Source organism: Homo sapiens, chromosome 2, assembly GCF_000001405.40.
Source record: "Homo sapiens chromosome 2, GRCh38.p14 Primary Assembly".
In the NCBI taxonomy this organism is placed as follows: Eukaryota; Metazoa; Chordata; class Mammalia; order Primates; family Hominidae; genus Homo; species Homo sapiens.
In genome coordinates, this window is record NC_000002.12 from 69483032 (window position 1) to 69496444 (window position 13413).

At 42.6% G+C, this 13413-nt stretch overlaps 1 protein-coding gene across 5 annotated transcripts in view; it reads right to left on the reverse strand.

Annotated features, from left to right (window-relative positions):
* AAK1 (AP2 associated kinase 1) overlaps positions 1–13413 on the reverse strand; it is a 185743-nt gene that overhangs the window by 25035 nt on the left and 147295 nt on the right. For 2 of the 5 annotated variants that reach the window (NM_014911.5, NM_001371575.1), the window contains exon 17: positions 12954–13049. The exons of the other annotated variants lie outside the window; for them this stretch is intronic. In NM_014911.5, the coding sequence (NP_055726.4) occupies positions 12954–13049 (96 nt within the window). The remainder of the gene's footprint in view (positions 1–12953; positions 13050–13413) is intronic. 5 annotated transcript variants of the gene reach the window in all.

Consider the following 13413-nt stretch of genomic DNA (forward strand, 5'->3'; position numbering starts at 1 on the left):
CATTCAAGATGCTGTCCTGGGTGCGTCTGCTTGTTTTTATTTGAGGTGTAATTTGCATACAATAAAAGTCGCCCATTTTAAGTGTACAATGTGGTTAGTCTGGACAAATGTATACATTCATATCATTACCACTGAAATGATACAGAACATTTCCAAAACCTGAGAAAATTCCTTCATAACCCTTTACAGTCAGTGCCTTCCTCTCACCACAGACCCTGGTAACAACAGATCTGCTTTCTGTCCCTACAGCTTTGCCTTTTCCAGAATTTCCTATAAATGGAACCACAGAGTATGTAGTCTTTTGTGTGTGGTTTCCTTCCTTTGGCATAATGCCTTTGAGATGAAAGTCATCCGTGTGGTCGCAAGTATCAATAGTTTGCTCTGTTTTTCTGCTGAGTCCTGTTCCATTGTATGGCTGTACCACACTTTGTTGATCCATTCACCAACTGAACATTTGGTTGTTTCCAGTTTTTAAGCTGGTAAAAATAAAGCTGCCATAAACATTTGCATATAAATCTTTGTATGTTCATTTTCCTTCTCGGGCTTAGTTTTGAATCTCTCTCTTTTTTCGGGGGTTGGGGGGGACTTTATTTAGAAACAGTTTATAACTCACCAAGATAATCAATTCAACCACACCTAAGCTGACTTCAACGATCATTTATTGTCTGCCAACTATGCACCTGTGACATGCTGGCAGTCATATTATTCTATGGTCAAATATCACAAAATTCACTTAAGCCCAAAAATGGATTACTCTTGATGTCTTCTGGCCAAGAAATAAAAGGACGCCTGAGCCACCAGACTTGTCACACCTGGTAACTTAATGTTTGACAATGTGTGCACATTTGGATTCCTTCCAAAACAATTCTTTTAGCCCGATCCATCAAGAACCCTCTATTTACCTTTAAGCTATTAAAGGTAAAGCATTAACTTGAAACAAAATAATGAATCATAGAATCTTATAGGAAGAAGGGAATTTAGAGCTCACATTTCCTGTTAAGAGGAGACTTAGATCACATAAATTCTGTAACTTGCCCAATTAAAGACATGTCAACAACGTTCTTTTAAACCATGGAAATGTCATTAAGAGAACTAAAATTAAAATGTTTGCTTGAGAAAAAGAAGTGACTTAAAGTCCAAGAACGTGTATATAACGTTGTAATAAATCTGTATTCTTCTAGGCCATTTGGGAATTGAGATAAGCAAGAAATAAATTGATATTCATGGAAAAACAGGAACCAAATTTTAGGTGATCTTCAATTTAGGTGATCTGTAACTACACAGGTCAAACAAAAGAATGGATTTCAGAGTCTTGGCAAGATAATTTGCTTTAGTATAATTAACACACTGCAGAAAAAGACTTATATGTAAAGCCAATTCACCATCTCTGGAGTCTACGGAATGCAGATAACTTTGAATTAAATGACAATAAGCTACATATCTCATTTATACCTCGTTTATATTAAAAAAAGGAAGGACGGCTGGGTGCAGTGGCTCACGCCTGTAATCCCAGCACTTTGGGAGGCCGAGGTGGGTGGATCACCTGAGGACAGGAGTTCGAGACCAGCCTGGCCAACATGGGGAAATCCACATCTCTACTTAAAATACAAAAATTAGCCGGGTGTGGTAGTGCATGCCTATAGTCCCAGCCTGACCAACATGGCGAAACCCCGCCTCTACTAAAAATACAAAAATTAGCCAGGCGTGGTGGCGCATGCCTGAAGTCCCAGCTACTCAGGAGGCTGAGGCAAGAGAATTGCTTGTACTCAGGAGGCGGAGGCTGCACTGAGCCAAGATCATGCCATTGCACTCCAGCCTGGGTGACAGAGTGAGTCTCAAAAAAAAAAATAATAATAATAAATAAAAACATAAAAAAAAGGAAGGAAAAAAAAGGAAGTTTTTCAGTTGCAGGAAAAAAACCCTCACAGGGCACTAACCAAGTATACAAGTGTAATTATATTAGCATTAACCTTACACTGTATATGACATTATAAGATGTTAAAAATATCTCTAATAATTTTCAGCATACTGGTAAAAATAAGATGGTTTTCCTAAAAAGTCTAACTTTGCATTGCTCCAAACACTAGTTTTTGCTTCATTCCTCTCTCCTCAAAAAACTGTCACTTAAAAAAATGAAATTACTTGCTTCTTTTAAGTTAGCACTCATATATTTGCAATCTTGAAAAGCAATGGATAAAAAGTAAAGACCCAAAATTACTTGCTTGTCTTTCATGCAGCAGTTTATCTTGGTGCAAAACCTCAGGCTAGCATTCTTTCAGATTCTGAATTCTAGCCTCTCTGGTGACATGTTGTGACTCTGGCACAGTTCCTTAACCTTCTGACATTATCTCCTCATCTGTAAAATGGAGATGCCTCCCCCTACTTTTTTGTACTTGTCACTCAATACTATCTCCTGTAAGCCTTTCCCCACCTTCCTGCCACATCAGGAATCTTCTGGAGCATCCTGCACTCAATTCTCTCGCAGCCCTTAAGCATGACTGAAGGTAAGGAAGGGTCTTACGAACCTTTGTATCCCAGTTCTTGGTTTCCCCTCAGATGCCCTGCCACATCTATGCCTTTTGGCTTGACTGGGGAGGTGGAAAGAACAGGAATTGAAGAAAATCTCTCTTTTTTTTTTTTTTCTGAGATGGGAGTTTCGCTCTTGTCGCCCAGGCTGGAGTGCAATGGCACAATTTCGGCTCACTTGCAACCTCCCTCTCCCATGTTCAAGCGATTCTCCTGCCTCAGTCTCCAGTAACTGGGATTACGAGTGTGCGCCACCACACTCGGCTAATTTTTGTATTTTTAGCAGAGATGGGGTTTCACTATGATGGCCAGGTTGGTCTCGAACTCCTGACCTCAGGTGATCCACCCACCTTGGCCTCCCAAAGTGCTGGGATTACAGATGTGAGTCACTGAGCCTGGCCTTTTTTTTTTTTAAGAGACAGGATAGTGCTCTGCCACCCGGGCTGAAGTGCTGTGGAACGATCACGGCTCACTGCAGCCTCGAACTCTCGGGCTCAACAGATCCTTCAGCCGCAGCCTTCTGAGAAGCTAGGGCTACAGGCATGTACCACCATGCTCGGCTAATATTTTTTATTTTTCATTTTAGTAGAGATGGGGTCTCGCTATGCTGCCCAGGACAATCTTAAGCTCCTGGCCTCAAGTAATCCTCCTGCCTCAGCCTCCTGAGTTGCTGACATTACAGGTATGAGCCACTGAACCTGGCTCAAGAATCTAATATTTTTATAAGTCATTAGCAAAAAGCACGTGGGAGGGTAAAGAAGTACATGAGTGTACACGTGTTGTGTGGTGAGACAGAATGGTGTAAACTGCCTGATTTAGGGGGGCTTATTTTCTGACCAAACCTCAAAGTAACAAGCTATTCACATAGATAACTTGTATGGTCACGGCTGCTTGGGAATACTCAAATACCAGAAATGTGGGAGGGAGGAGCTGCAGACAGAACAATACCAGGCACAAAGCTGGGAGTGAGAGCACAGGCCATGTCTATGTAAGGTGGACAGCTGTGCGAAAAGCTACTTGGACTCCCAGGACTCTCACAGGGAAGGAAGGCTCCCAGTGACTCAGTTGGCCTCCAGGTGCCATCACAATGATGGACGTCACTTACATTTGTAGAGCTTAATATCAAATATTTTCATTCATTATTCAAAAACCCCTGGGTTTGGGAATACTAATACAGTTTAAAAGAATGAAGATCAGAGACTATGAGAATGTGCAACTTGCCCAAAGTCACAGATTAGACATGGTAGAGCCTGGACTTGTCTCTGAAGTTCTCTCTGTATCTGTCTAGGGGTCTGCCTATCTCCATCAATATAGGAATATGAGTCTTCACATAGACATGGTCCCAGGGACAACGGTAATGTTATCAGACAGGTTAGCATTGGAAAGAACCTCATATCTTATCTAATTCAGCCTTCTCCTCTATGAATGAAGAAACCAGCTCCAGAAAGTTAAAGAAACTTGCCAAAGATCTCACAGCAAGCAAGCAAGAGAGCTAGCTGATACTAAGACTCAGATATCTGACCACACTGGAGTTTCATTCTTCTGGTTTAACTAAAGTTTTGATTGCTTTAAAATGTAAGGACTCTTAGAAGAGGTCACATCTAAAGCTATTACTGGTCATTTTTGGTCATTGTAAATGAAGAACTTGAGAAAAGGATGTAATGGGAGGCACAAGAAAGGCTATAGGATGCTGACAGTCTATAAATCATGGAGCCTGGAGGCCTTCCATCTGCATCAAGGGCTGGCCCTGATATCCTTTGTTTTATAAATTCTGTCCTTTCCCTTACAGTTTAATAGAAACACACCGAAGCCAAGTATCATGATGGGGCATGGAGAAGAACAGCACAGAGAAGAGAGTGGTGAATGTAGGAAACTGTAGAAGTGTTCCTTAAGATCCAAAAACATCAATCACGCTTCACATCAGCATATCGTGACTTAGTGATGTCTAATGAACAAAGACCTTTTTTCACCATGAGTTATGAGAAGTGACTTCTTTGGATGCAAAGGCAAAAGCCATTCTTCTGGGACAGTTCATACCTGAAATGTACAAAGACTGACACTGTTATTCTCAATTATTTAAGGGGATAGACCAATGAAACCCCCAAATTATTCATAAATTGTATTTTAGTAATGATTTAATCTTCCTATGAAATGTTTGTGAAAAGCAATTGGACAATTCTGAAGAGAAGAAAATGGTCCAGTTTTGCATTAGTATTTTTTGTTTGTTTGCTTTTTTTTTTTTTTTTTTTGAGACAGAGTTTCACTCTTGTTGCCCAGGCTGGAGTGCAATGGCGCGATCTCAGCTCACTGCAACCTCCGCCTCCTAGGTTCAAGCAATTCTCCCGCCTCAGCCTCCCGAGTATCTGGCATTATAGGCGCCTGCCACCACGCCCAGCTAATTTTTGTTATTTTTATTAGAAATGGGGTTTCGCCATGTGGGCCAGGCTGGTCTCAAACTCCTGACCTCAGGTGATCCAAAGTGCTGGAATTACAGGTGTGAGCCACTGTGCTCGGCCAAGTTTTGCATTAGTTTTTAGGCTTACTCTGATATTTTTAGAACTGACTCCAGACTCTAAACGTGTGTGTGTGGACGTGTGTGTGTGTGTGTGTGTGTGTGTGTGTTTGAGGGAGGGGAACAAAAGTTGAATAACTATTGGGTACTATGTTCAGTACCTGAGTGATGGGATCAGTTGTACCCCAAACCTCAGCATCATGCTATGTACCCAGGTAACAAACATGCACACGTATCCCCTAAATCTAGAAAATAAGTTGAAGTTATAAAAAAAGATAGAGAGTATCATTTTATTGATTTATTTTTACCTTTTATTGTGATACTATACATTTTTTGAATTTTAGCTGGGGCCTGCAAAATCCCAAAAAGTAAAGAGTAAAAGAGCCTGAATTTAAGTTGCCTGATTTTTCTAAGCAATTTTCTCACCTGTAAACAGATTAAGAACTACTTTAAAGTGTTGTTGGGATTAAAAGGGTGTATTTATCAGAATTAATGCGTGTGTATAAATAAAGTGTTTGGTACATAAAAGGGGATTAACGTCTCTTTTAAGTAAGAGGACTAAATGGGCTAGGGGGTCACCAAGCCACAGGTGCCTGTGATTACAGTAGTGAATATGGGTCAAGTTCCATATTTTACTCAAATGTCTTGGGTGAGAACAGAATAAGCAGAACTGTTAGAATAAAGTGAAAGGTGGGGAAGAGGCAGGATGGTCTAACAGAGAGGTACACAAGGTACTAAGAAACAGGAGACCTGCTCTACACTAAGTTTGTGTAGTACTTTGGGCAAATCTCTTACTCTTTCTAGACTGAAGTTCTCTTATGGACAAAATGAAGATAAACTGACCAGGCGCAGTGGCTCACACTTGTAATCCCAGCACTCCTACCTCAGCCTCCAAGTAACTGGAACTACAGATGCATGCCACCATGCCTGGCTAACTTAAAACTTTTTTTTTTTTTTGAAAAAATGGCGTCCCTGTATGTTACCCAGTCTCATCTCAAACTCCTGGCCTCAGGCGATCCACCCAACTCAGCCTCCCAAAGTGCTGGGATTACAGGAGCGAGCCACCATATCCAGCCCCTCTCCTAAAATATCAAAAGAGAAGCCGGCTATGGGGCTCACCCCTGTAATCCCAGCACTTTGGGAAGCTGAGGCGGGTGGATCACCTGAGGTCAGGAGTTCAAGACCAGCCTGGCCAGCATGGTGAAACACAATCTCTACGAAAAATACAAAAATTAGCCAGGCGTGGTGGCGCATGCCTGTAATCTGAGCTACTCGGGGGGCTGAGGCAGGAGAATTGCTTGAAGCCAGGAGGCAGAGGTTGCAGCAAGCTGAGATCACACCATTGCACTCCAGACTGGGCGACAGAGCGAGACTCCGTCTCAAAAAAAAAAAAAAAAAGAGGACAGGTATCTACTTATACAGGCTAATAAAACCAAGGGCTTTCTCAAGGCCCATTCTGACTCTGGTTAGGAATATGAGCAGGAGGAGTAGAACGGCAGGACTCACAGACATGGAAGGGCCGAATACCAGCCCCACCAAAAAAGAGGACACGGCCACTCCAGCCTTGTGGCTTTGGAAATCTATGTTCTGTCTGAGTTGGGGTGTAAGCCCTGAAGTCTCATGACGAGAGATGATGTTTTAAAACTCTAGTCACCCTAAAAAAGAAATAAAATAAAATGAAATCTAGTCACTCTAAAGAGTTCTTAGCATTGAGAAACCATTTGTGACATCTGCAAGTTGGAAGCAAAAGTCAAACATCATGCCCCATTCCAAGTTCATTTTAGAGAATTAAATCTGCAGAAAGATAAGCTTTCCAGAGTAAAAACACATATTATGATCAACCTTGGACTTCTCAGTATCACGAGACAGCAGTTGGAAATGAGGAAGAGGCCAGGCCAAAAGTTATGAGAAGAATGCCCGTCTTGACTATAAACTTTTGAGAAAACACAGCTTCTCTTGCTTAACTTCTCAAGAGATGATGAATTGCCATAAACCAAGAGGCACTTTTTTAAAAAAGTTTTTAATTCTAAGAAGCAGCACTGATGGGGCAACGAATGTCTTCTTGCTTAGTCTGTGGAACGCCGAGATCAGTACTGCAGACTTGTTATAAAGATCGTTTCCTCAAATCCTTGGGCATTGTTGGTGGGAATGTAAAATGATGCAGCCTCTATGGAAAACAGTGGTCCTCAAAAAGTTAAAAATAGAATTAGCATATGATCCAGCAATTCCATTTCTGGGTATATACCCAAGAGAATTGAAAGCAGGATCTGGAAGAGAAATTTGTGCACTCAATGTTCACAGAGGCATCTCTCACAAAAGACAAAAGATGGAAGCAACCCAAGTGTCCATTAACAGATGAAAGGAGAAAGAAAATGTGGTATATACATACAATGGAATATTACTTAGCCTGAGAAAGGAAGAAAATTCTGACATATCCTACAACATGAATGAACCTTAAGGATATGATACTAAATGAAATAAGCCAGTCACAAAAGGACAAATACTGTATGATTCCACTTACATTCGGTTCCTAGAGTAGTAAAATTCATAGAGACAGAAAATAGAGTGGTGGTTGCCAGGGGCTGGGGGGAGGGGAAATAGAGAGTTGTTGTTTAATGGGTACAGAGTTTCAGTTTCACAAGTTGAAAAAAGGTGGGTGGATGGATGGTAGTGATGGCTGCAAAACAATGAGAATATACTTAATGCCACTGAACTGTACACTTAGAAATGGTTAAAATGGTAAATCTCATTATGTACATTTTACTACAATTTAAAAGAATGATTTAAAAATATTGTCCCCAGTTTTCAGAGAAAATTCCTCAATCTTTCTAAAATATATCTATGTGTGTGTACCCACACACACACACACACACACACTTTTTAAGAGACAGGGTCTCACTCTGTCACACCCAGGCTAGAGTGTAGTAGTGTGATCATAGCTCATTGCAGCCTCAAACTCCTGGGCTCAAGGATCCTCCTGCCTCAGCCTCCCAAGTAGCTAGGACTACAGGCATGCAGCACTATGCCTGGCTAATTAAAAAAAAATTTTTTTTTTTTTAGATACAGGGTCTCACCACGTTGCCCAGGCTGGTCTCGAACTCCCAGGCTCAAGTGATCCTTTCGCCTTGGCCCCGCAAAGTGCTGAGATTATAGGCATGAGCCTGGCCCAGCCTCTTTTCTACCATATTTTAAAATGCTGGTACTACTTATAGCTTATCTGTTTCCTAATGCATACAGAAGGCAAATAAATGGACAAGCAGCATTTGAGCATCAGTGAAATACTCTGAGACTCACTAGCCATGCATCATTTGGCAGCTTTGTAAGCATACAAATGTTCATGGCTATGATTTTCATATTCCAGACCTTCTAAGAAAATTTGTTTTATAGTGCTTTGAAAAATAAAAATATTCCTTAAAACAAACCAACGAACCAACCTACAATTATCCAGTGCCCTTTACCCATAGTTTGACAATCACTGTATCCAGGAAATCTATTTTAATGGTTCTCAGTTGTGCAAAAGTTAAAGGTCATAAGAGCAAGTTTAATTTCAACAAGAGAAAAATATCATTTTATGATAACTAGGACTGCCCCACTGGGAATAGGGATGTAGAACCAAAGTTGAAACAGCATTTCCCATCTTTATAGTAATTTAAAATTCACATAGAAATTTCAAATACATGATTTCATCTAACCTTGTGACCACCCCATAAGGTAGGTTTTAGTATTGCCAATTTTAAGGATAAGAACACACAATTTAAGTGATTTGACCACAATCACCTAGCCACTAATGGCTAGAACTCAGGACTAACAGTTTCAGATCTATTTTTATATTTCCCAAAGCCTTAAATTTAGCTCTCTGGTCAAAGGCTTTATTGATCTGAGAACTGTCCCAAAGATAAAAGAACCCTCCACTGTTTGGGGAGTGTGGGCAATAAGAAGAATGTGTGGCTGAGCACAGTCCAAACAACACTAAGGACTCACTTCCTCACCCACACCATGAGGGCGTTACTTGACATTATCTACCACCTACCACTCCCCAGTATCTATAAGATCAAAGGTACTTGTACGTGAAATCATTTTAAAAGCATAAAATAAAAAAGTTAAAAGTCATTGAAACGCATGGTCTTCAGGAGACTGAGAGTCCATGAGTCTTTTTTTTTTTGAGACGGAGTCTTGCTCTGTCACCCAGGCTGGAGTGCAGTGGCGCGATCTCAGCTCACTGCAATCTCTGCCTCCCAGGTTCAAGCAATTCTTCTGCCTCAGCCTCCTGAGTGCCTGGGATTATAGGCGCCCACCACCATGCCCAGCTAATTTTTGTATTTTTAGTAGAGACAGGGTCCCACCATGTTGGCCAGATTGGCCTCGAACGCCTGACCTCAGGTGATCCACCTGCCTCGGCCTCCCAGAGTGCTGGGATTACAGGCGTGAGCCACCGTGCCTGGCCAATTCTTTTTTTTTTTTTTTTTTTTTTGAGATAGAGTCTTGCTCTGTCGCCCAGGATAGAGTGGAGGAGTGTGACCTCAGCTCACTGGAAACTCCACCTCCCGGGTTCAAGCAATTCTCCTGTCTCAGTCTCCCGAGTACCTGCAAGTACAGGCGCATGCCACCACGCCTGGCTAATTTTTGTATTTTTAGTAGAGACAGGGATTTCATCGTATTGGTCAGGCTGGTTTCGAACTCCTGACCTCAGGTGATCCACCCGCCTCGACCTCCCAAAGTGCTGGTATTACAGGTGTCAGCTACCACGCCCAGCCTTTCATGATTCTTATCATCAGTATGGCTGAGAGTAGAAGATGAGCATGTATGCAAAACAAAGAAAATCAGGCAAAAAACTTGACTGGTGTCCATAGTGGGCTGGAGGTGTGACAGACTACTTGCTTTTTGCGGGGTAAAACCAAATTTGTAGTTTGCCCAGGTTCTAGAGACACTGAACCCTGAGCCCTTTCCTCACTCAATATTCAAAAATGTTAAAAAAGGATGCAGTAAGGCTGAGGCAGGAGAATGGCGTGAACCCGGGAGGCGGAGCTTGCAGTGAGCCGAGATCGCGCCACTGCACTCCAGCCTGGGCGACAGAGCGAGACTCCGTCTCAAAAAAAAAAAAAAAAAAAGGATGCAGTGGCCTTGATATAGAAGCTGTGTAACTGAATGTGCTAGAGGCTGAATGTTAAAATAAGCAGAATAGTCAAAGCCACCGTGGTAATATAACATACTTAGCACAATTCTGCAGGACACCGTGAAAGGACGGGGCTAAACGACCTGCTGAGCCTAGCTACTATTCTCATCAGCCCAGGGACTGGCAGCTGCCTGACACTGTGGGCTGTGCCTTCCTTTATTCACTCTCAAAGAGTGGGTGTGGGGGGACTGGCTGGGAGTTGGCAGAGGTGCAGATGGAAGGCTATGGAGCCAGTCGTCTGGTGCCTGGGAGCTGGGACAGAAATGCAGGGTAATGGGGCCACCTAAAGGCTTCCAGCTTCTGGTTTTATTTCATTCATTTGTCGGATCTGTAAATACTCACTAAGTGAATACAGACAGTGTCGTTGGCACAGCTGATACAGGTGATGAATAAGACAGATGAGGCCCCTCCCTCAGAGAGTGATAGGATGAGGAAAGACAGACTATGTCCTGATAAGGGCTATGAAGAAAAAGTGCCAGGGGATGTGACTGGGAGTGCCCATGGGACCACACTGGGCCTTTCTGAGCAGACGGCATTTAAGCTGAGACCCACAGGTTGAATGACACAAGGGAACAAAACTGAAGGGAAGGCTTTCCAAGCTGAGCACCAGCAAGTGCAAAGTCCCCAGGGTGGGAACAAGCTTAGCTTGTTGGAGGAAAGACAAGATGGAGGGGAACAGCGCTCTCAGCTGAGATTAGAGGGGTAGGCAAGGGCCACACCACTTAGGGCCTTGCAGGTCGCAGTAAGCAGCCTGGATTTTATGCCCCCTCAGTGATATGAGAATTCACCAAAGCACAGAAGAGTTAACTGTCTGACTTATGTTTTCAACAGATGAGTCTGGTCTGACAGATCAGAAAGTAAATAATACACTCCTGCAGTTCTCTATTAAAATGTCTCATTTTAGTTGATCTTTCCACCGAAACCCAAGAGAGGTCTTGGCTTAATTGGTATTAAAGTGTATACCAGTAACATTTCAGCAGGAATCCACCAGGATGAAAGAAGCATGGAGGACCAGGAGACAGGAAAGATGACAAGAAGGCAGGCAGGATGGCAGCCAGCTGGCTCTGGTGGCCCCAGACGCATTTCCACAAGCTGAAGCCGATTTCCTGAGCCACCTGGGGCATGTGCCTGGCTCTTCAACCCTGATCCAGAGGACTCCTGTGACAGCTGCACAGGACAGTTACTTGCCTGAGGGCCCTCATCCTCTGCCCTGTGCAAAGAGGCCTTCTTCCTGGCTTCTGCAGCCCATGGGCTACCTAAGCAACAGCAAAGCAAGAACCTGAAGGGGTGTCAAAAGGAGAATGCCTCCATCACCTCTTTCCCTTGTCTGATCCCATGATTACCAAAACAGGGAGGAAAAGACAGTGAGCCCCAGCTGGAGTTTACAGCCCACACTTTTCTAACCTTCTATTCAAAATGAACTTGTCCAAGTACTGCCAGGCATACCTGAAAAGTGCAAAGGAAAAAAGCGCCTCTATTTCATTCCTTTCTTCCCTTTTAACTACCCTGTATTGAATCATTCCTTAGTGGTTTTCGATATTTTTAAGCTACATCCAGGTCCAGTAAGCTATAAAGTTATACAGTACTACCTGATCAAGGCAAGTGTTTGCTTCTCCTTAGAGGGGTAAACAAATTTGTCTAAAAATAAAAAATAAAAACTGCCTTGGTACCCTAGCTGCAGTCTGTCTTAGTGATGGTGGGCAGACTTGGTAAAGGATATGAACATCGCAGTCACTTCCAGTCTTGAAGCAAGCAATCAAATACCTTTAACATTTTGGGAGAGAAAAAAAACCAAGCCAGTCCTGTCAGTTCAAGGTCAAGAGTTGGTAGGGGCAACAATGGGAAAAAAGGAAAAATGATCAGAAGCAAAACAACTGTCAACTGCTTCTAAGGAGCTGGAACAATTTGCTTTTGTGAAGAGACTGACAGATAAGAGAAAGGGCGGCTTCTCTTCCCCACACCACTCCTCCCACCAAAGAGTACGGAAGGAAGGCCGGAAGGAAAAGCTTTGGCAACTTGAACTCCAACTGGGAAGCATCCAATCACTGTTCCAAAAGCTCTTTCAGAACACATCAACCACTTTCTACTTTTTAGACTGCTACTTAAAATTGAGATATGGTGGACTACAAGAGATATTCAAACTCCTGCAGTCCAACACACTTCACTGATGAAGAACCAAGCCCAGAAGGTTTTCAGGTAGCGGCAGAGCCTGGAAGGGAACCCAGGTCTCCTGACGCACATTCCCTATTAATTATTATCCCATTCCCTAATTATCATTATGTGTTTTTATATTATAAAATAAAAAGGCATTATAGAAAAGAACTGAACAGCAGTCACCCACAATCCCATGATCACACTATCACCACTATTCATATTTTGATCACTTTATCATGTGCTTACAGCCTCCCCACCATTGTTAAAATCATATTGGACTAATGTTCTTTCCAATACAGAGGCCCCTCACGTCACCATTAACACAATCAAGGATGAAAAACTGAACATTGATATAATATGGAAATCAATTTGGTATAACCTGAACTGATTTTATCTTTGCTAAGGGCTGGTACCCTCCAGGACAAGTTTACTCCTCTTATTGAGACACAGTAAAAATATACAACAGCAGCCTATTATTAGGGCTTGGAATTCAGATCCTTTTCACGGGGTATTTAAGGCAGAACTTTCTACAAGGCCTGGGACATGCAAATCAAGCTGCTTAACCTCAGAACAGTTCTGTTCACCTACCTGGTGCATCAGGTACTTGAAGAGGAATGAAAGGATCAGACACGCTTAGAAGCGGGAGGCCAGAGTCCACAGTCTGCCCACCCTTCCTTTTTTCAGCTGGAGTTAGGTTGGAGGGGAAGGAGGAGTCAGGAGAGAAAAAAAGAGAAAAGCAATAACACCAAGTAAATCTAGGTAAGTTTACCCTCTATTAATGCAACAGTTCAAACTACAGAGTAAGTCTAAGCCTAGAATAAAAGTGGCTGTAGCTCAGTGAACAGCAAAGTATCTATGAGATACTCAATCTGGCCCGTTTTTTTTTTTTTTTTGAGACGAAGTCTCACTCGTGTCCACCAGGCTGGAGTGCAATGGCACAATCTCGGCTCACTGAAACCTCCGCCTCCCGGTTCAAGCGATTCTCCTGCCTCAGCCTCCTGAGTCGCCAGGCGCCTGCCACCACGCACAGCTAATTTTTGTATTTTTA